Consider the following 23,316-nt stretch of genomic DNA (forward strand, 5'->3'; position numbering starts at 1 on the left):
GTTATGGCTCTTGCATAGAATATCCTGAGTCTTTCTCTAATTGTAGTGGGATCAGCACATCCTGAGTCTTGTCCTGGTTTTAGTGACTGAGGAATAAACTGGCAAAAGTTGGAAATAAACCACTACCAGATCTGTGATGACTGGTCATGCACAACAGCAGAGCTGGGCTCAACGTATCTCTAAGCATTCAACAAAGGTATCCTGAAGTAATAATATGTTCCAGTTGCTTTAGAAGCTACTCAAATGAACTAGACACAGACTTTGGCTTTAAGGAATGTACAGTCTAACAAGAAGATGGAGATGCACTTCAATCCCAACACAAGAGAAGTGCTAAGTAGCTTGAATAGGGAGGTTCAGAAAAATTGTGCTGCAAGTCCAGAGGTAGATGTGATTATTTCTAGCTGGGAGTTTTAGAAAAAGTTTAGTGGAATAAGTAGCTTATAAAATAGGCCTGGAAGGAGAAGTAGGATGTAGGCACTGGCCCATGAAGAAGAAGGGGGAAAGGAGAACACCATTTTGGGAGGATAAAATAGCTGGGGGGAAAAGGCAGCACAGATGGTTCATGCATAGGGAACAACCAAACAATCAAGCTTGGCCAAAAAAAGCTTCTCTTCCTTCATTTAATATACCTTCTATTACACAGTTTTGAGCAATATTGACAATAATGCTTAATGAGTTTTTATCAGAAGAAGCCACTGTTAATGTAAAAGTAACCCAACATTGTAAACCCCAATATATAAATTCAATAAAAGTCTTTGTTAATCCCTTATAAAAATATACTTGTAATGATTACATGTTATCTGCACCTGTGGGTTTCCTAAAACTATTTCTGCCAAAGAATCCTATGGGTTTCCAATTAAATATTATAATTCCAGTTTCCATTTTTATAAATGTATTTTATTTCATGACTCATAGTCAATACCTTTGTGATATTTTTACTTCCTAATTCCCCTTCATTCAAGTACCCGTCAATTCCAGTATCATTCTCTTCAAAATTATTGCCTATCTCCAATTTTACTTATTTGGCCCTCCTACCAAAAATTTTTTTGGCAGAATTACCTATCTCTAATCATAATTCTGTAAATAGGAGAGGTTCCCAAGTAAATCTTTGGCGTAAAACTATACCAAATTCAGCCCACCTGTAATCACCCACACTGTTATGTCAAAATAGTCCATTCCCAAAGTTACAACATCTCTACTTACTGTCAGGGAGCTGAACTTCTCTATACCGAACCAGCTGACTTGGAAGGAGAGGTTTGGTATGAGCATGTTCAATGAGGGTGTCTTCAACCATCTGCATAATTCCTAATGCAGCCTATGGAAAAAGATATGTCCCAGCATATTACAAAAACATAAACATATCTTGTTTGTGAAATAAACTGGCTTTGTTTATCATAAAAGTGGATTCTAAAACCTTAAATATATTTGATCCTATTCAAATGGATAAAAATTGAATTTGTCAGTATGGTCATTTTGCAATAGAGTCAATATGGTAGTGGTGAAAGAAACAGACACCCAAACAATCATCAACACTGATGCTGATGCTGGAAAAAAGGCACTGCCAAAGATGGTCTCAAGTGAAATGATCCTGACTACAGACACCTGGGGTCACAGAAAAGCAAGGGAGGCAAACATAGGCTTTATTGTAGGTAAAATGACCTTGGTAAGAATCTTGCTTCTGCCACTTATTAGCATCTGACCTTGGGCATATTGTTCTGGAGGGGGTATAGCAGAGTGGTAGAGACCAAGGGATCTTTTCTTTTTTTTTTTTGAGACAGGGTTTCGTTCTGTTACCCAGGCTGGAGTGCAGTGGCACAATCATAACTCACTGCAGCCTCAACCTCCTAGGCTCAAGAGATCCTCTTGCCTCAGCCTCCTGAGTAGCTAGGACTACAGGCATGCACTACCACACCTGGCTGTTTTTCAATTTTTTGTAGAGTTATGTTGCCCAGGCTGCTCTCGAACTCTTGGGTTCAAGTAATCCTCCTGCCTCAGCCTCCAAAGTACTGAGATGATAGGCGTGAGCCACTGCACCCGGCCGAGACTGAGGGATCTTGAGACAGACTGCCACGGAAATTTTGTAGTGCTTTCCATGTGCTAAGTACTTAGCATGTACTATTTAATCCTTACCACACATGACGTAGGTGCTACTGTAACTCTAATTTTACAGAAAAGAAAACAGATAAGCACAGAGTTAAGACATTTTCAAAAGATTACAGATCTAGTATATAGCAGAGCCAGGATTTGAATCCAGGCTGTCTAATTCTACAGCACGTGCTCTTATCTACTATACAATTATGCCACCCTATACAGAGTAGGGATAATTACTCCCATTTCCTCCTATGATTGCACAAGGTAGAAAACAGCAGAGGAGGCAGCCATGAAAGTTAGGTCCTCAGTTAATCACCATCATTCTACTTTCCCTGTGCCCTCTACCTTCCTCCACAGAGCAAGAGGGTTGAGTAAACTCTAATGTGTTCCTTATCACACCATGCTGGTTAACAATCTTGAGAAAGACTAGAGGGAAAAAATATCTTGCAATGATCCACAAAAGATTGCTAAAACCTCAACCACCCACCTGCTTTGTTATGTTTCCATGGAGAAGGGCTTCAATGTGCAGCCGTGACAGGAGCTGAGGTATGAAGGCCTTAAGGCGAGGAAGGGTTACATCTGCAAAGGTGTAAGAAGACATAGTGAGCGCTACCTATGAGGGATTTTTTGTTTGAGATAATTTGAGACTTACAGAAGACTTGCAAAAATAGTACACAGAGCTCCTGTAAACACTTCACCTAGTTTTCCCTAATGTTAACATCTTTCATAACCATCAAAACTAAGAAATTAACATTGGTATAATACTATTAACTAAAGTACAGACTTTATTTGGATTTTTCCCATTTTTATCTTTTTTTTTATTCCAGGATTTGATCCACAACCCTCCATTACATTTAGCTGTCATATGTCTTTAGTTCCCTCTAATCTCTGACAGTTTCTCAGTCCTTCCATATATTTCATGATCTTAAGACTTTTGAAGAGTACTGTTCAGTTATTTTATAGAAGTCCCACATTTGGGTTTGTCTGGTGTTTTCTCACAATTAGATTTCATGTCTGTATTACCACAAAGAATACCACAAAGGTAATGCGCCTTTCTCACTGCATTCTATCAGGGGACTCATGAAGTTGATATGTTGTAGTACTAGTGATGTTAAAACTGATCACTTGGTTAAGGTGGTGTCTGCCAGATGTCCTCACTGTAAATGTATTATTTTATTCTTTTATTTATAATTTAATAACTCATATGTGCTCTATATGCAATTTGGAAAAGCCCACTTGCCCATCTACACCTATTTTTCCCTTTGTAATTACTAAATATTTATTTTGGGAAAAGTAAATGAGATTATACAAATATTTTCTTTTTCTTTAAATTTGACCCACTAATTTTAGCATCCATTGGTAGTTATTGCCTGTAGCAATTATTACTATGGAGTTCTAATGGCAATTTTTCTATTTCCCTCTTTCTTTTTACATATATTAATTTAATCCTTCTGTAAGGAAGAGCTGTCCCTTCTCCATTAGGACACCATAGTAATAACTGCTACATGCAAGATCTACCAATGGATGCTAAAATCAGTGATAGACATTTAAGGAGAAACATGGGAATGCAAATAACAAGTGCTTACCACAGATCAGGAATTTTACAGATGTTATCTTTCACACTATAAAGTAGCTACTATTATCCCCACTTTAAAGATAGGAAAATGAAGTTAAGAAAATTTAAGTTTGTTGTTCAAAGTCATTAAGCTAGTAAATTGCAGAGCTGGGATTTGATCCTTGGTCAATTCCAAAGTGGATGTTCATTCTATTCCACTGTACTGCCTTAGGGGTCCTCTTCACTAGGCTCCCTCGGCACTCTCTGCAGCTTTCCACCACAATACTTACCCCCTTGTCTCTCTCTATTAAAATGATCTACTTACATTTATGCTTCACCACCAGACTGGAGCTCCTTGATCAAAGAAACCCCATCTAATTGATCATTTTAAATTTTTATTTATTTATTTTTGAGACAGAGTCTTGCTCTGTCACCCAGGCTGAAGTGCAGTGGTGCAACCTCCGCCTCCTGGGTTCAAGCGATTCTCCTGCCTTAGCCTCTTGAGTAGCTAGGAATGCAGGCATGCACCACCACGCCTGGCTAATTTTTGTATTTTTTGTAGAGATGGGGTTTTGCCATGTTTAATTGATCATTTTTTAATCTCAAGCACCTGCAGTCTTGGGCTGGGTGCATGGCAGGCAGTCAGTAAATGCTGCTGGACCACACTGAACCCTGAAGTTCTTGCTACCCTGGCACCTGGATAGCTGAATGATTTAGAGTCACTGAAGAGGCAGCCTCTCACACTGAGTTGTTTCCAAATTAAGCCATTCTGGCATTTTGGATTATTGTAGGAGTATATATATCAAAATGGAATAATTATTTACTTGAGCAGAAAATTTAAATAAAAAAAGAACTGACTATTCTCTTTACAAAATCCATTTTAGGAAGCCTTCATATCCCTCTGAGATACTATAGAGCTTATTCTGCTTAAAATTAACATGCCATCTGACCTAGATTCTAACGAAGGGTGAATAAAACCCTCAAACCTTTGCTTTTTGATCATTATAAAAGTAGGCTTCGTTTTGGAAAACATTTAAAATTAATTGTGTGGTATTTTTAAAAGGTATAATTCTTGCTATTAATTGCATATGACCATAATCATTTTGCAAAGAAAAGCATATTAACTGTCCTGATAAAAAAATGTACCTGTTCTAGTAAGTGATTTTTATAATCTAGTCTCCTATCCAATGCCTGAGGCAATCAACAAAATAATGACTTTCAGTACTTTGCTCGATTTGTGTCACTGATGACATCAAAAGCATAGTGTTACGTAAGTATAAGAACTTGTCACAAAAGGTTATTAAAACATTCAACAGAATTCTTTTTTTTTTTTTTTTTTTGAGATGGAATCTCTGTTGCCAGGCTGGAGTGCAGTGGCACGATCTCGGCTCACTGCAACCTCTGCCTCCTGGGTTCAAGCGATTCTCCTGCCTCAGCCTACCAAGTAGCTGGGACTACAGGTGAACGCCACCATGCCCAGCTAATTTTTGTATTTTTTGTAGACGTGGGTTTCACCATGTTGGCCAGAATGGTCTCGATCTCTTGACCTTGTGATCCGCCCGCCTCGGCCTCCCAAAGTTGCTGAGATTACAGGCGTGAGCCACCATGCCCAGCCCAGAATTTTTTTTTTTTTTTTTTTAGACAAGAGTCTCACTCTGTCGCCCAGGCTGGAGTGCAGTGGCATTATCTCGGCTCACTGTAAGCTCCGCCTCCCAGGTTCACGACATTCTCCTGCCTCAGCCTCCCGAGTAGCTGGGACTACAGGCACCCGCCACCACGCCCGGCTAATTTTTTGTATTTTTAGTACAGACGGGGATTCACCATGGTCTCCATCTCCTGACCTCGTGATCCGCCTGCCTCGGCCTCCTAAAGTGCTGGGATTACAGGTGTGAGCCACGGCACCCGGCCCAAAATTCTTTTTATTGCATTTTAATGCTTATGGCTGAGCACATAGGAAGAAAGATTAATTGGCGAGGTAATGTTGAGAAGTAAAAAATCTAAAACAATAATAAAGGGTGATACCAATCTACATTTTTTTCCAGTAAAGAAATCCTGAAAGTAATTTCTTTACATTCAATAGGCATTCATTAGATACACACTGAGGGCATAATATTATACTAGATACTAAGTAAAGGGGTATGGAAGGCAGGTATAATCACTGCTCTTAAGGAATTTTGGATTTTCAAGCCAAACTCCTGAAAATTAGACTTAAGATTCTAGGGAAAAAAACAACAAAAGATGACTCTTTAGGCTTTCACATTTTCCAATTTTTAACTGAACTGATCTAAGGATGCTAAAGCAGGAAAAAAAAAAAAACCTGAACATTGTGTGTTAAGACTTTGAAGTTCAGCTAACTTTTTCTTAAAACTTCAATATTGGCCGGTCGCGGTGGCTCATGCCTGTAATCCCAGCATGCTGGGAGGCCAAGGCAGGCGGATCACCGGAGGTCAGGAGTTCAAGACCAGCCTGGCCAACATGGTGAAACCCTGTCCCTACTAAAAATACAAAAAGTTTGCCAGGTGTGGTGGTATACACCTGTAATCCCAGCTACTCGGGAGGCTGAGGCAGGAAAACTGCTTGAACCTGGGAGGTGGAGGTTGCAATGAGCTGAGATTGCACCACTGCACTCCAGCCTGGGCAACAGAGCAGACTCCGTCTTTAAAAAAAAAAACACCAAATAAAAATCCTTCAATATTAACAAGGTTAGTACTTGGGTCAGAGCATTTAGTCTGCAGAAAAAAAAATTTTTTTTTGGAGGCAGAGACAGAGTCTTGCTCTGTCATCCAAGCTGGAGCACAGTGGCGTAATCATGGCTCACTGCAGCCTCAACTTCCCGGGCTCAAGCAATCCTCTCAACCACAGCCTCTTGAGTAAGTGGGACCACAGGTGTAAGCCACCATATCCAGCTAATAGTTTTATTATTTTTTGTAGAGACAGAGTCTCACTATATTGCCCAGGGTGGTCTCAAACTCCTGGGATCAAGCGATCCTCCTTTCTCCGCCTCCCAAAAGTACTAGGATTACAGGTATGTGCAACCCAGCCCTTCTGCAGAAATCTAAAAGTAGTAATAATTAACTGGTGTAGGTCCAGATTGAAAACAGTAAATGTGGCTAACCTGCCTGAATGCAAAAACCACTTCAAAGCCACCACTGTTTTTTTACATTTTATTTTTAATTGACAAATAATAATTGTAGATATTCATAGAGTATATAATGTTATTATATATACATATAATGTATAGTGATCACATCAGGGTACTAAGCATATCCATCATCTCAAGTTTATTTATCATTTGTTTGGGTTGGGAATGTTCAATATCTTCCTTCTACCTATTTAAAAGTATATGTTACTGTTAACTATAGCCATCCTGCCCACCACTGTTTTTATAAAACATATACACAGCCAGCTTTAATAGAACTACAAGTTATTTAAAAGTATAAACAGTCAATATCAGAATAAACCAAAATGAATTTAGGAAAAAAATGAAGAAAGCATTAAGCTTTAAGTAGAAAGTCTCACCATCCAGAGCTTCTTTTAACTCATCTTTAGTCCAGGCCACTTCAGTCATCAGCAAGCGGAGGTAGTACATGGCATGCTGGTGAGGCTGTTCAGCCCGGAAATTGTTAAGAGATCGCATATACTAGTGAAAGAGACATGCGTTCATTAATTTTATAAATCTTTTAAAAATCATTTCAAAAGTCCAGTTATAATCAAATTTCAATTCTCTATAAACTGTATTACTAGGATATTCCCTTCTTTCCCCTTTCTGAAGTTATATAATTAAGAATGGGGTTTATTCCTCTCCGATCTTTACATAAAAGTGCATGCTTTTTCTTTGTCCAAGCTACATTTGTTCAGCATCTGACATGGACTATAAGTGCCTTCACTATGGGATATCTTTAGTCCCTCAGAAAGTTATCCCTAGTTTTCAGGGAAGTCTTTTGGAATCTTTAGGTTCTACGCTATAAAGCCATCCCCAAAGTCTCCATAAGCAAGCAACATAAATAGGTAGCCATATAAAATATGGAATCTTTATTTGAAAACTGATGGTAGTTTCTTCTAGTATACAAGGAAAGGTCATAGTTTAGCTTCAGAAGCAGCTGTTCATCCCATACTTCCATTACTGGGCCAAACATGAATTGAATGTAAGTGGAAGATATGTCAAACCCAAATAGTGTGCTCTAATGTGACAAGGTCTTGAGGTAAAGCAGACCTCAGTCTGCTGAATTGCGTGTTCTTCTGAACTAGAGGTTGGGATGGAACATTCAAGGAGGCCCTGACAGCCACTAAGTGCTTCTCTTTGAAATTCAGAGCTGCAACTCTGAATTGCAGTGAGCTCTTGGCACCCACAGAGAAGAGGCCAGGTGTCCACCAGAGTCTACTAGGATTTCTTTCTGGATGGAGTATAGGATTTTGCAATGACAAGGTGAGATGAATGCCACAGGGTTATGAATTCTTCTTTTCCTCCTTGCTTCTTTTATATTATAAAAACTATTATGAAAACTTTTTATAATATAGCAATATTATCTTATGAATAAAAAAGCAGGGTTCAGAAAACTTACTGCTTCTTTGATAATTTCAAATCTTTTTTCATCAATCTCAAAGGTAGCCATTTTCTCAATAATCTTCTTTAGTAAAATTGGCTGCTTGTCATTGTAACCTTTCACTGAAAGCTACAGAAAGAATTCAGGGTATTAAAAGTCTAAAAATATCACAAAACAACTTCCAAATAAACGACTTGATTTTTAAACATGTAGAAAATCCCAAAACAGACATGTAAAAAATGAAACAAATTCAATTTAATGTGTCATAAATATATATAGTGTAACACTTAGGAAGATAACATTAACCATCTTTTTTTTTTTTTTTGAGACAGAGTTTCGCTCTTGTTGCCCAGGCTGGAGTGCAACGGCACGATTTCAGTTCACTGCAACCTCAGCCTCCCAGGTTCAGGCAATTCTCCTGTCTCAGCCTCCAGAGTAGCTGGGATTACAGACGTGCCCCACTACGCCTGGTTAATATTTTGTATTTTTAGTAGAGATGGCGTTTCACCATGTTAGTCAGGCTGGTCTTGAACTCCTGACCTCAGGTGATCCATCCGCCTCGGCCTTCCAAAATGCTGGGATTACAGGTGTGAGCCACCATGCCCAGCCTTAACCATCTTTTTTAAAAAATATATTTATTTATTCGAGACAGGGTCTTGCTAGGGTACCCAGGCTAGACTCAAACTCCTGAGCTCAAGTGAACCTCCTGCCTCAGTCTCCCAAGTAGCTGGAACTATATGTGTGAGCCACAGTGCCTGGCCATTAACAATCTCTATACCCAAAAGCATAATTTTACTTTTCTGAAACAAAACCAACAGTAAGTAAACTCACCTGACACCGAACTATGGTGGCATATACTATATCATCAAAACTCAAATTCTTTTTATAAAATTAATTGTAGAATGTGGCTAAGTTTTTTCTTCAAAAAGAATATCTAATGAAAGGCAGACTTAAGGTTTCTACAGGTGAGGTAAGAAGATAAAAATCACAGGGCATAGTGGCACGTACAAGTCGTCCCAGCTACTTGGAAAGCTGAGATGGAAGGCTTGCTTTAGCCCAAGAGTTTAAGACCAACCTGGGCAACATAGTTAGACTCCTGACCTCAGGTGATCCACCTGCCTCGGCCTCCCAAAGTGCTGGGATTACAGGCATGAGCCACCGTGCCAGGCAGGATCCACAATTCTAACCACTTGCTTATTTGGTAAGTTCTGTTGGTGTTCCAAAAGCTAATGGCAAAACAAATGTGTAAAAAGGATACACTGTATGTATCATCAGGACCTTGGCTTAGCACATTTTTTTTTTTCTGAGACAGGGTCTGGCTCTGCCACCCAGGCTGGAGTGCAGTGGTACAATCTCGGCTGACTGCAACTTCTGCTCCGCAGGCTCAAGCGATCCTCCCACCTCAGCCTCTGGAGTAGCTGGACTACAGGTACACACCACCATGTCTGGCTAATTTTTTGTATTTTTTGTAGAGACAGGGTCTTGCCATGTTGCCCAGGAGGCTGGTCTCGAACTCCTGAGCTCAAAGCAATCTGCCTGCCTTGGCCTCCCAAAGTGCTGGGATTACAGGCGTGAGCCACCGTGCCCAGCCAACTTAGCAAAATTTACTTTGTCTCTAAATGCCTAACATTTTGAAAAGTGGGGAATGGAGAATTTCTATCATGATATTTCCACATGGTGGCACGCAAAGCAGTAGGGGATATCACTGCAGCTAGAATATCATGAAAGTCTCTACGCTGTACAGGATGATAGGCAAGAACCTCAGCAGGAGGGAAGGCCACTGGCCACGGCAAGCACATCATTTTTCCTACTGTAGGAACTAGACTGACAATTAGCAGAAAACCCATTTTGTCATAAATAAAAATTATGTGTTTTGATGGTAATATGCTACTAAAAATCAACAGAAAAAAGAGAAAACAGATGATTACTTTTCTATTTGGAGCTAATTTTGATCTCTGAGCTTCAAACTTCTGTGGACTCTGGGAATGGTTAGATTAATAAACATTCTTATACATTAAACAAAAGCTACCAGAGAATTTATTTATGTGAAGAAAAAAAAGTCACTGGAAAATAAATAAAATTTAAAATTCCTACAATCTTTTGTGTAAGAATTTAAACAACGAGTACCCCAAAATGCTCTTGTTTTCATTTTTACTAAAATATGCAATATATTTTCAAGAAAAGTGAAGATGAATGTGTGCCATAAAAGGGATGTTAACTCGGAATTGAGATATAAGCAAGCTTGGAAACACATTCCAAAGAAAGGATCTAGTTATTTCTTAGATGGATTTAATAAATGCTTATTTTAAAACACACATAAAGTAGGTAATGGTGCATGCTACAAAATAAGTTTTAAATTAAAATGTCAGATGTATCTGAACATAGAAACTTTATACTACTGTCTGCAGAAATAAAGGGTGCCTATTTATAAGTAAAATTCAATCACCACAACAACTATGGATATCTTCTACTTACGGATGTTAATATACTCAATTATATAGAAAGAACAATATGCTTTCAGGATTAATATGTTAAACATCTCAGGCAGAAGAGCATGCAAATAAACGTAGCACACATACATGTTCACAAGATGCACTAAACTTTATTAAATCATTCATTAGTGGAACTAACACTAATTTGAGTTCTTTGATCATCAAAAAGATGCAAGGAAAAAAACCATTAACTTTCTTGTTTAAAAATGCGAAGTTAATAGTTTTCCCAAGCTCAACATAATGCTTAAACGGGGTGGTGCCTTTTCTTTGGTTTTCATTTTACTTACAAGTATTGCATTCATTCCTGATGCAATGCCATAGCTCAAACCTGAGAGGCGTGCTGCATATGTATACTCTTTTAAATCATCCTTCAATAACCTGATAAACAGGTATGTCATGTTGCAATGGAGAGGATCAGCATAAATGTAGCGACTAACAAAAAGAAAAACAAAAGAAATGCTTTGATACCTCAAGCAGTGGCATGGTAATGAAGAAACATGACCGAAGAGTATGGATATGCAGCCTCATGATCTGGATTTCTAGGGAAATAGTATATGCCAACCTTAGGTTTTACAAAAGGAAGACTTCATTTTCCTTTGCCAAAGACCAAGATTTCAAATACAGAATGGGTAAGAGCTAAACCTAAATCAGGGTCCAATTTTGTTTGAGTAGAAAAATATGACATTCTGATGAAAGACGTTTAAAAAAAAAGAAATCAAGGAAAATTTGCATAATATGAATGGTATGTAGTTGAACACTTAGAATAAAAGCTAACTTAAAAATTAAATGAGAAAATATGATTAGCCATAAAGATTAAAAAAAAAAGAAATTAAACTCACACCCTCAATCAAAAAATGCTTCCATCAAATCAATATAAAAAATGTTGATGAGTGGAAGGCTCTAAGGCGTGGGTACTTACATACATCCCATAGATGGTATTTTGGAGATCATAGCTCAAGCCTGCTAGCTCTGCTGCATATGCATACTCGTTGAGTGAGTCTTTGAGGAGCTCAAGGTACAAATAGGCCATGTTACAGTGCAAGGGGTCCACATAAGCAAATGGGCTGGAAGAAAATGTTGACAGTAAAATAGCTGATTTTATTACTTCTCAATGTGATATGGCCTTTTGAGATGGATCAAGATATTGAACACCGGTTAATATGATTTCCTGAGGATATGGTTGAATTCTTGAGGCTATTTCTTATGAGGAAAAAAAAGAAGATGTCTGAAAAAGAAGCCTGAAGTGTGTGTGAGTGTGTGTGTGTGTGTGTGCATGCGTGCGTGTGTGCGTGCGCACTGGTAGTAGTGAAGAAGGAGAAGGAACTGCCTACCCCAGATGGTGTGGCAGAACTGACAAGTTAGAAATGCAGGGTATGTGAGCAGTGGGAACGGGCCAAAATGCATGGCTGTGCTTAGGCTAATGGGAGGAGCACGGCCGACAGAACAGATACAGCATTTGCATGTCTTCCCTCTCTCTCCAATAAAGTCACATCCTTGGTGGACAGGAATAAAGGACTGGGAAATGTGTCTGTGGTAATTACATGAACTTAGAAAAATTGAGACCTGTGAAAATGTTAGCTTATCCCTGAGTTTTCCCCAAAACAGTAAAGCTAGAGAACTGTCAGTAAAATAATTGATAATTTCTATCATATAACAGCAGCCAAAACTAGGGAAAAATAAAATAGAAAAATATTTTAATGAGAAAGAACAAAGAAGAAAGAATTATAGAGTACAAGAACTAAACCACCACAGTGATCAACTAAACTTCATTTCCCAGATAAGAAACATAATTTTCTTCAGGTCCCCTGAGTTCGTGGCAGCAGAGCTGGGATTCAAATGCAAGTTAAATGACCTGCTCCTTTGACTATACAACCTTGCTTACCTTTTATCAGAAGAAAGTAAAGGTCTCACTCATTCAACAAATATGTATTATATGCTTACTACAGTGCCAGGCTCTTCTCTAGGCACTGGAAATAAAGAGTGAACAAATCAGGCAAATTCCCTGACCTCAGAGTTGATAATCTAGCTAGAGGGGACACATAATAATAAATTTAAATTTGACATATTAGTTGGTGACAGTGCTATGGGGTAAAATTAAGCAGGGTAAGGGGAATAGGGAATGATGGGGTGATGGCAGCAGGGAAGAAAGACTGCTGCTTTACATAAGATGGCCAGTCAAGGCCACTCTTACAATGTGACATCTGGACTCAGACCTGAAGGAGGCAAGGGAGTGAGCCCTGGGGATATCTAAGGGGTGGAGTGGAGAACTTCCCAGGCTGAAGAAATAGCTACTGCTAAAGGCCTGAGGCAGGTGCCTGCTTGGCTTGTTTGGCAGCAAATTAAAAGTTTCACTCTACTTGTAGCACAGTAAATATAACTAATGTACTGATAACAAAGTCAACATTTTGTTTTTTAAAGTTGAGTCAAGGTCTCACTGTGTTGTCCAGGCTGGTCTCGAACTCCTAGGCTCAAGCGATCTTCCTGCCTCGGCTTCCCAAAATGTTAGGATTACAGGTGTGAGCTATCGCACCCAGCCAAAAGCCAACAATTTTATCAAAGCTGATAAAAAAGCAAAAATAGGGATAAAATGTGTAGTCACTTAGAGAATTAAAATCAAAGACAAAGTTCTACAGCTATCCAAATATTCTCCAACTGGAAAATCTGAATAAATGTTCTGCCATTAAATTTTTTAAGGTATGATACATGATGACAGATTTCCTTCTTTTGGCAAATAGCAGCTCAAAAACTTAAGGCACAATTCACAAAAACAAAATCATCAAAACAAAAGAGAGGATATCACAGAGGTCGGCCCCACAGGCAACTATGCACCTTTCTCAGGTGGAAGTGAAAAGCCAGAAAATCCAAGTTTTGGGTCTCAAAGCACTATGGCTCAGGCTCAGAAAATAATTCCAAGGAGTGTCCTAAAATGCTACATCCAGCCTGGCAAGGTGGCATACGCCTGTAGTCCCAGCTACTCAGGAGGCTGAGGTGGGAGGATCACTTGAGCCCAAGAATTTGAGGCTGCAGTAACTGCACTCCAGCCTTGGGTGACAGAGGAAGACTCTGTCTCCTAAAAAAAGAGAACAACAAAAACAGCTGTATCCACAGCAGCTGTGCTGGTGAAGTGGAGAAGACCCTAAACTAACTTTTAAAAGAGAATAGGATTCAACTGGGATACCTAAATTCTGGTTCATGTGTTAATTTTAAAAATACGTTATTTTGTAACCAGATACTATATGCTTAAATATGGATCACAGGGTTTTAAAAACCATAGCTAACTACACATAATATAATCTTATTTCTGAAAAGATGGAAAGGATATAGACACACACATGAAAATTTCAATTAAAATGTACAAGAAACAGAACAGTGGTTACCTCTAGGAAGACAGACCAGAGGGAGGGATTTGTGTGGGAGGCAGACATTTTCAGTTCTAGGAAATGCGCTAGGCAGTTTAGAGAACACAAAAATGTAAAATGGTCTCTCAAAGGGTAGTCTAAAGAAATTCATCATCATAGAGGCCAAATGGAAAAGTGGTGACAAGCTGCTTAGAGTGTTAAAAATATCACTCTCAAATATCAAAAAATAAAAAGCAGCTTTGTAATGCCCTTTACCAATAATAAGCCACAACCTGACAGCCCATCTTTGGTGTAAACAATAAAAAATCTCTGCACAGTTCTAGATAATCTGTGAATCTCATGCAATAAAACCACAATATTTATAATCACTATAATCTCAACATATTTGTTGATGGAAAATCAAATTCCTTTCCCTCTTTCCAAAGCATTTAAACCTTATCTACCTCTAATTTCATGTCAAGCCAACTGAATAAAAATTAATGAAAAAGCTGATTATCATATTGAACATTACTGAACAAATAAACCATGATAGGCTTATCTTACAAACCACTGAATTTTAGAAATATAAAATTATGAAGTATAAACTCACAAAGTAAAATCTGAAACAGGTGATTAACACACAAATAAGTAAAGGAAGACAAAGATGAATTGAAGGTGCACTGAGAAATTACTGCAATAGCATTATTCATAAATTTTACTAAACATCTTCTCCCTTTTTATTAGTAATGTTTAAGTAATCAAGCCAGAAATAGAGGAAGCAGTATCTAAGGGTTCCAGACAAAGGACAAAACAAGACTCAGGATCATTTAGTAACTAGTACCTCCTCTTCTAGACAAGTTCCAGGAATACAAAGCCAAAGCAATAAAAACACCCCAAATTATTTATTCTTTCTTCAATGAGTCTTCTTCTGGGTAAATCTACGGCCTCCTCAGAATCCAAAACCCTGAAGGCTAAGAAGGTCATCCTAACAATAGCTAACATAAATCATTTCAGCTAAAGGGCATACTCATTAATGGGGAAAGAAAAAAAAAAAGAATTAACAACACTGGTTTTTAAAATACCTCTTAACAGCAACAGCTCTCCTTTTTTTTCTTTTCTTTTTTTTTTGAGACAGAGTCTGGCTCTGTCGCCCAGGCTGGAGTGCAGCGGTGCGATCTCAGCTGACTGCATCCTCCTGCCTCAGCCTCCTGAGTAGCTGGGACTACAGGCACCCACCACCATGCCCGGCTAATTTTTTGTATTTTTAGTAGAGACGGGGTTTCACCGTGTTAGCCAGGATGGTCTCACTCTCCTGACCTCATGATCCGCCCGCCTCAGCCTCCCAAAGTGCTGGGATTACAGGCGTGAGCCACCGTGCCCGGCCAACCTCTCCTTTTCTTTACTTTTATTTATTTATTTTTTTCAGCCTCTCCTTTTCTAGGTGAAATAACTCTAATTCCTTTTATTTCTAGACATGGATGTTTAAGAAGAACAGACAACTCCTGGAAACGTAATTGTTGATTTTTATAAGCTTTATAAGCTAGATTCATCTTACATACCTGAAAAATTCAAAGTTGAGACAAGCCTTCGGCAAAAAAAACTTATCATCTTGTTTGAACCAAAGTTTGCTCATAGCTGTATCCTGTGATGGAGAAACAATTTGGTTAGGGAAATAGAGGCGCATTCAGCAAAAATGTTCAATCAAATCACTCTTCAAGAGGAGGAGGACAGAAGCAATAGTTAGAGTTTTGTTCTGGAGTTGCTGTCCCATGGGCCTTGAAGCATACTCAAGAGTCAGCAGGTAGGAAGCTGGAGACAAAGACTGCAGACTCCTGTAGCAGAGTGAAATCTGCCTTCTATTTCCCCTGTATTAGGGAGATGGGGGTACAGTGAAGGAAGAGACAGATCAGAGAAGCCAATACCAACTGTCCTGTCTTCGTCTTTCTGGACACTAGGAGGAAGGCAGAGGCAGAAGTCCCTTGCAAGCGTATGGCAGCCAGCTTCCAGGGTGGCCCACAACAATCCTTGCCTGCTGAGATTCACAGCCTTGGGTGGTCCCCTCCCACACTACACCAGGGTTGGTCTGCCTTACTAACAAAATATGACAGAATTAATGGTATACCTCTGAGACTGCATTATAAAAGACACCGCGGCTTGCATCCTGATCACTCACTTTCCCTCCTGGATCACTCACTTTGGGGGAAGCCTGCTGCCATGTCAAGCAACTCTACAGAGAGGTCCATGTGGTGAAAAATTAAGGCTGGCCAACAACCACATAACTGAACTTGGAAGAGAATTCTCCAGCCCTGGCTGAACCTTCAGATGACTGAAACCTTGGCCAACAGCTTGACTATAACCTCACGACAAGCCCTGAGCCAGAACTACCCAACTAAGTCACTGCTGGATTCCTGACCCTCCTCAGAAACTGTGTGAGGGCCAGGCGCGGTGGCTTCACTCCTATAATCCCAGCACTTTGGGATGCCGAGGTGGGTGGATCATGAGGCCGGGAGTTCGAGACCATCCTGGCCAACATGGTGAAACCCCGTCTCTACTAATCATACAAAAATGAGCAGGGTGTGGTGGCTCGTGCCTGTAGTCCCAGCTACTCAGGAGACTGAGGCAGGAGAATAGTTTGAACCAGGACTCGGGAGGCAGAGGTTGCAGTGAGCCGAGATCATGCCACTGCACTCCAGCCTGGGCAACAGAGCAAGACTCCATCTCAAAAAACAAAACAAAACAAAGAAACTGTGTGTGAGATACGGTGCAGCAGCTCACACCTGTAATCCCAGCACTTTGGGAGGCCAAGGCAGGCAGATGACTTGAGGCCAGGAGTTCGAGATCAGCCTGGCCAAAACAGCAAAACCCTGTCTCTATTAAAAATACAAAAATTAGTTGGGCATGGTGGCACATGCCTATAATCCCAGTTACTTAGGAGGCTGAGGCATGAGAATAGCTTGAACCTGGGAGGCAGAGGTTGCAGTGAGCTGAGATTGCACCACTGCATTCCAGCCTAGGCAACGGAGAGAGACTCTGTCTCAAAAAAAAAAAGAAAGAAAGAAAAAAAGAAACTGTGTGTGAGAAACCAGGCATGATGGTTCATGCCTATAATCCCAGAAATTTGGAAGGCTGAGGCAGGATCGCTTGAGCCTAGGAGTTTGAGATCGGCCTGGGCAACATAGTGAGATCCCACCTCTACAAAAATATTGAACAATTAGCTGGGCGTGGTGGTGGGTGCTTGTAGTCCTACGTACACAAGAGGCTGAGGTGGGTGGATCACTTTAGCCCAGGAGGCCAAGGCTACAGTGAGCCATGACTGCACCACTTCACCCCAGCCTGGGCAATGGAATGCGAGTCTTTTAAAAAAAGGAAAAAAAACTGTGTGAGATAATAATTGTTGTGGGTTGTTTCTTTTTCTTTCTTTCTTTCTTTCTTTTTTTTTTTTTTTTTTTGTGACAGAGTTTCGCTCTTGTTACCCAGGCTGGAGTGCAATGGCGTGATCTCGGCTCACCACAATCTCCACCTCCTGGGTTCAAGCGATTCTCCTGCCTCAGCCTCCTGAGTAGCTGGGATAAGGCACGCGCCACCACGCCCAGCTAATTTTTTTTAGTAGAGACGGGGCTTCACCATTTTGGTCAGGCTGGTCTCGAACTCCTGACCTCATGATCCACTCGCCTCAGCCTCCCAAAGTGCTGGGATTACAGGCGTGAGCCACTGCATCTGGCCTAACTTAAATGTTGTGGTTTTAAGCTGCTAAATTTTGGAATAATTTAATATGCAACCATGGATAACCAACATGGCCAAGGATGAACAAATAAGCTACTTATCTTGCCTCTCCACTTCACTCATGCTATGCTAAGAATGGCTTTAGTCACTTGAAACTACCTTGAAACTCTGGGAAGAGATATAAATGGTTTAATGTTCTCGTTAGTTTGCTCTGGGAAGGCCTATTTAAAACAAACAGCAAAAGTCGGATATGGTAGCTCACACCTATAATTCCAGCTACTTGAGAGGCTGAAGGGGGAGGATCACTTGAGGCCAGGAGTTCTAGACCAGCCCAGGCAACATAGCAAGATCCCATCTCTACAAAAAATTAAAAACAAACTAGCTGGGTGTGGTGTGCGTCTGTAATCCAGCTACTTAGGAGGCTGAGGCCAGAAGATGGTTTGAACCCAGGAGTTTGAGGCTGCAGTGAGCTATGATCCCACCACTGCACTCCAGCCTGGGCAACAGAGAGACCCTGTCTCCATAAATAAATAAATAAATAAGATAAGATAAGATAAACAATACATAAAAAACAGCTGAGGTAAATGAACTTTCTCTTTGCATAAGCTAATATAAAACTCTTTAAAATGTCATTTTTAAAGAAAAACGGGTCCGGCGTGGTGGCTCATGCCTCTAATCCCAGCACTTTGGGAGGCCGAGGCAGGTGGCTCCCCTGAGGTCAAGAGTTCGAGGCCAGCCTGGCTAACATGGTGAAACCCTGTCTCTACTAAAAATACAAAAAATCAGCTGGATGTGGTGGCGGGTGCCTGTAATCCCAGCTACTTGGGAGGCTAAGGCAGGAGAATCACTTGAACTTGGGAGGCGGAAGTTACAGTGAGCCGAGATCATGCCATTATACTCCAGCCTGGGCAACAAGAACAAGACTCTGTCTCAAAAAAAGAAAAGAAAATAAAGAAAAATGGTTGTCTCATTAATAATCTAGTTGCTTAAGACAAATTTTAGTGTTCCTAAACACTAATTGTTATCTCATTGAACTCATCTAAATTCTTCCAAATGTTAGGTCATCTGAAGAAGATAAAAAGAAACATCTGTGTGTGTGTGCCTACAGTCATGAGTTTAGAAACAGTTTAGAAGGGAGAAGAAATACGTTTAGAAGGGAGAAGAAATACGTTTAGAAGGGAGAATGTGCTGTAATAATTTGATACAATTTTTTACATACTTTACTCAAGTTCTGAAATAATAGCATGAAAAGGACATTCTGAAAAAGATGGGGAGGGAACCCTACTTCTCAACAGCCCTTTGCACTAGTTTATCATTCCATTAATTTGAGATAGTCACTATGTCATAATGAATGTTTTTAAGGGCAGGAAATCCAACAGCTCCCCCTGGACTTGCTCTCTTTCAGGCTTTAGAGATCCTTTCTTATCTTTAATGTCCATGATGCAGCATAAACCTACTTCCTTATTGGGTCTTCAGCAGACATGGAAAAGAGGAACAGACCTTTCCACAGACTTGTGGTTACAGCTCAGACTTACTTTTTTCTCCTACAAAGAAAGTGATTCCCTAGATTCTACACTGTTTAGTTTTGTTTGCTTGCTTTAATATTTTTAACCTTCTAATATTTTTTGTAGTTATTCTTTCTGCAGCTTTTTTGTCACCTATTAGGATGTGAGCCTCCCCAAATCAACATAGTACCAAATGTAAGAAATCATTTACCCAGTCCCCCATGTATTAGGTCTGTCCCCCAAATTTAAAATCACTGATTCAAACACATTACCTTAATAAGAGCAGGGTATGGTGTCGCCTCTTTTTCTAACGGTAAAATCTCAAAATTCGTAGGAATAAATTCATTCTTTGTAGGAAGTTTAAATTTCCCATTCAGGTCAGCATTTTGCCATTTCTGGATGAATAATGAAACACACAAATGCAGTAAGAGTCTGATTTAAGAGTTTAAAATAGTATCTCTGCTCAATATATGGGCAAATATTAAGTGCACAAATGTCACACAGCATTGTTTTCCATCATATATAAAAGAGGTACTACCAAATCTATCGATGGGTTTTCCTGAAACCTGAGTTAGTCTTTCTAGTACTAGCAAAGATTTTGCACTCATATATCTACTCTTCCTCTCCACATCTCCAAAATGACCAGCTGAGGAACAATTGAGACTATGGAACACAGAAAAGCTGACTGGTCCATATGCAGATCATGTTTATTCTAGCTCTTTAAAGAATGGAGAATAATCTGCTCAGGAATATATTCCCACAACTGCTAGACAATAGGTCATTTATATAAGAGCCATACTTTCAGCTATACTAAGTTATATCCATGAATGGCCTGAAAGCCAGGCTAAAGGAGGTGTCTTTCACTTTAGTACTTCTCTCTTTTTTTTCTTCCTGAGACAGTCTTGCTCTGCCGCCCAGGCTGGAGTGCAGTGGCATGATCTCAACTCACTGCAACCTCCACCTCCTGCGTTCAAGTGATTCTTGTGCCTCAGCCTCCCAAGTAGCTGGGACTACAGGTGTGTGCCACCACACCCGACTAATTTTCGTATTTTTAGTAGAGATTGGGTTTCACTGTTGCCCAGGCTGGTCTTGAACTCCTGGCCTCAACTGATCCACCCACTTCAGCCTCCCAAAGTGCTGGGATTACAGGTGTGAGCCACCATGCCCGGCCTCACTTCAGTACTTCTTTTTTTCTTTTTCAGACAGAATCTCACTCTGTTGCCCAGGCTGGAATGCAGCAGCGTGATCTCCACTCACTGCATCCTCTACCTCCCAGGTTCAAACGATTCTTGTGCCTCAGCCTCCTGAGTAGCTGGGATTACAGGCGTGTACCACCACACTCAGCTAATTTCTGTATTTTATTAGAGATGGGGTTTCACTGTATTGCCCACGCTGGTGTCAAACTCCCCTCAATCTGCCCACCTCAGCCTCCTAAAGTGCTAGGATTACAGACATCAGCCACCACGCTCGGCTTTCAGTACTTCTTAAGAACTGGCCCACACCTCTCCCAGATGATCATGTGAACTTTTAAGTGAACCAGTAGTTCAAGCACAAGGTTAAGAACAAAGTTGAGGCCAGGCGCGGTGGCTCACGCCTGTAATCCCAGCACTTTGGGAGGCCAAGATGTGCAGATCACGAGGTCAGGAGTTCGAGACCAGTCTGGCCAACATTGTGAAACCTCATATCTATTAAAAATACAAAAAATTAGCCGGGTATGGTGGTGTGCACCTGTAATCTCAGCTACTTGGGAGGCTGAGGCAGGAGAATCATGTGAACCTGGAAGGCAGAGGTTGCAGTGAGCCAAGATGGCGCCATTGCACTCCAGCCCAGGCAACAGTACGAGACTCTGTCTAAAAAAAAAAAAAGAAAAAACAAAGTTGAGATTTAGGTTGGGATTCACACAACCTGTAGTAGACTGGATCTGTTTCCTGTTCTAGTTCCAAAAGCTAAGTGGGACAGATCACAGGCCACTGATTGTTGAACCTAATTTATAAGGCTTTTCATTATTTAAAAAAAAAAAAAAAAAAAAAAAGCAACTGGCCAGGAGTAAAAAGCAACCAGCCTGGACAACAGAGCAAGGCCCTGTCTATTTAAAAAAAAAAACCAATTGTCAATAATTCTGGATTTCTGGATTCAGTAATTTGATCTCTAGCTGGTGTGGCACAGCCTTGCAGATTTTACGGTTCTTAGTTCCTGCATTTGTGACTTTCGGCACTGGGGACGTTGGCCATATTTCTTAAGTGGTATCTTAGGTTTCCAGAACAGCTGAATACTAGGGACTAGGAAACACTTAGTAAGTAATTTCACTACTGAGTTCCCAGATAGATGTGTTCTTAAAAAATTCCCAGCCGGGTGTGGTGGCTCACAGCTGTAATCCCAGCACTTTGGGAGGCTGAGGCAGGCGGATCACAAGGTCAAGAGATCAAGACCATCCTGGCCAACATGGTGAAACCCTGTCTCTACTAAAAATACAAAAATTAGCTGGGCGTGGTGGCATGCGCCTATAGTCCCAGCTACTCGGGAGGCTGAGCTAGGTGGAGGTTGCAGTGAGCCAAGATTATGCCACTGTACTCCAGCATGGTGACACAGCGAGATTCCATCTCAAAAAAAAAAATAAAATTCCCATTCAGGGCAGGTTGGTTATGGTCAGAGTCCAGTGAACAGGGGGATTCTTTCTTCTTTTAGGACTATTTCAGACCCAGCACTAATTCATGGAAGATCAGCTTTCCTCTCAGTTTAGAGAGATGGACATTTTCACACACTGGAGGGCTTCAATGATCTTCTGTATCATGAATATGTCAGAGATCTGTGAAGTACCAGTGATGATCTTCTTTCTTAAACTAATTCCTTTTTTTGTATGTCATTACACAGGTACATTTTTAAAATGTCCATTACTTGAGTTTAACTAGAATCTAGCCTGAGTAAAGTTTTCTGGTCTTTTCCCAGGAATAAGGGACGCAGTCTCAAAGGCACATAGCCAATGAGAACCAAAAGAGAAAGAAAGAAAAAGTACTAGATAAGTAGGTAACATTCACAAGCAAAATCCTGACTACTGATGAATGGGACAAAATATTGTTTTAACATACCTTTTCTGAAAATCATAATTCTCCTATGTTGACAAAAAGAACGGTGCTATAACATGAGGCATAAAACATAGCACCTCCTGAAGTGAAGATGGTATGAATCCTAGAGCCTGCTCTCAGCCTGTGTTCACAGCAAGACTGTGAGCTCTTTGGAGCCCTTGCATTGGTTTCTCATGCTTCCTACTTCCATCGCTTCTTGCCTTTCTGGTGCCTGTGCCCATGTACTCTGCACTTTAGTTACATTTTATGGCATGAGGCACAACCCTGGTGGTTTGATAGACACATGAGAAGGTGGCTAGAGTACCATGTCTTCATGAAAAGGCTAAACTCCAGCTCCCTATCTACTTGTTGATTTCTCTTAGGATGGTACAGATAACACTAGGTCATCAGTCTTCCACACTCTGGGGCCTTAGTTGGTGGATCTAGGGAGCAATGTTCTTGTGATTCCTCACATGTCAGGCTTATTCATAGATGAGTTAACCCTACCTTGATGACTTCATCCGGTATAGCTTCTTGTTTGTACTGGGTTCCATACCACTCTTCTGTGCGATCAGTTTTTCCTTCAAAAGATTTAGAAACTATGGCAACCCTAGAGATAGAAAAAACAAACAAAAAAACCCTGTAAACTCATACTGTATATATGAATTTAAAGAACCTGACTCAGGACAATATAAACAATATCCAAGAATGTGCTGGGCCTCTTAAGACCCAGCAAATCCTGTAAGGCTTAGTCCAAACAAGCAATACATGAATAGAGGTTTCTGATCATAGTCCCTGTTATCCTTTAGTTACAGTCCATTATTTTTAGTATGAAAAAGTGCTCGCAGGAGAGATTCCTCTAGGTTGCTACTGACTAAAATTTAAAAAGAAGAGTAGCTAGGGGAAAAAAATGTAACAAGGTCAGTTAAAAACAGTCAGTTAAAAAACAGTCCTAAAAAAAGCAAAGAAGTTGCGGATGTAGTGGCTTATGCCTGAAATCCCAGCA

At 40.3% G+C, this 23,316-nt stretch overlaps 1 protein-coding gene across 18 annotated transcripts in view; it reads right to left on the reverse strand.

Annotated features, from left to right (window-relative positions):
• The window catches only part of IDE (insulin degrading enzyme), a 122,410-nt gene that overhangs the window by 15,992 nt on the left and 83,102 nt on the right, over positions 1–23,316 (reverse strand). For 9 of the 18 annotated variants that reach the window (NM_001322794.2, NM_004969.4, NM_001322795.2 and 6 more), the window contains 8 exons: positions 22,818–22,920; positions 19,521–19,643; positions 15,580–15,662; positions 11,602–11,746; positions 8,209–8,319; positions 7,166–7,286; positions 2,579–2,670; positions 1,204–1,315 (listed from right to left, as the gene is read on the reverse strand). In NM_001322794.2, the coding sequence (NP_001309723.1) occupies positions 1,204–1,315; positions 2,579–2,670; positions 7,166–7,286; positions 8,209–8,319; positions 11,602–11,746; positions 15,580–15,662; positions 19,521–19,643; positions 22,818–22,920 (890 nt within the window). Of the gene's footprint in view, positions 1–1,203; positions 1,316–2,578; positions 2,671–7,165; positions 7,287–8,208; positions 8,320–10,969; positions 11,115–11,601; positions 11,747–13,117; positions 13,242–15,579; positions 15,663–19,520; positions 19,644–22,817; positions 22,921–23,316 lie in introns of those variants that run through there. The other 9 variants (NM_001322793.2, NM_001410974.1, XM_017016190.2 and 6 more) reach the window with 5 other exon arrangements.

The sequence above is a fragment of the Homo sapiens genome, chromosome 10 (assembly GCF_000001405.40).
Source record: "Homo sapiens chromosome 10, GRCh38.p14 Primary Assembly".
Lineage (NCBI taxonomy): Eukaryota > Metazoa > Chordata > Mammalia > Primates > Hominidae > Homo > Homo sapiens.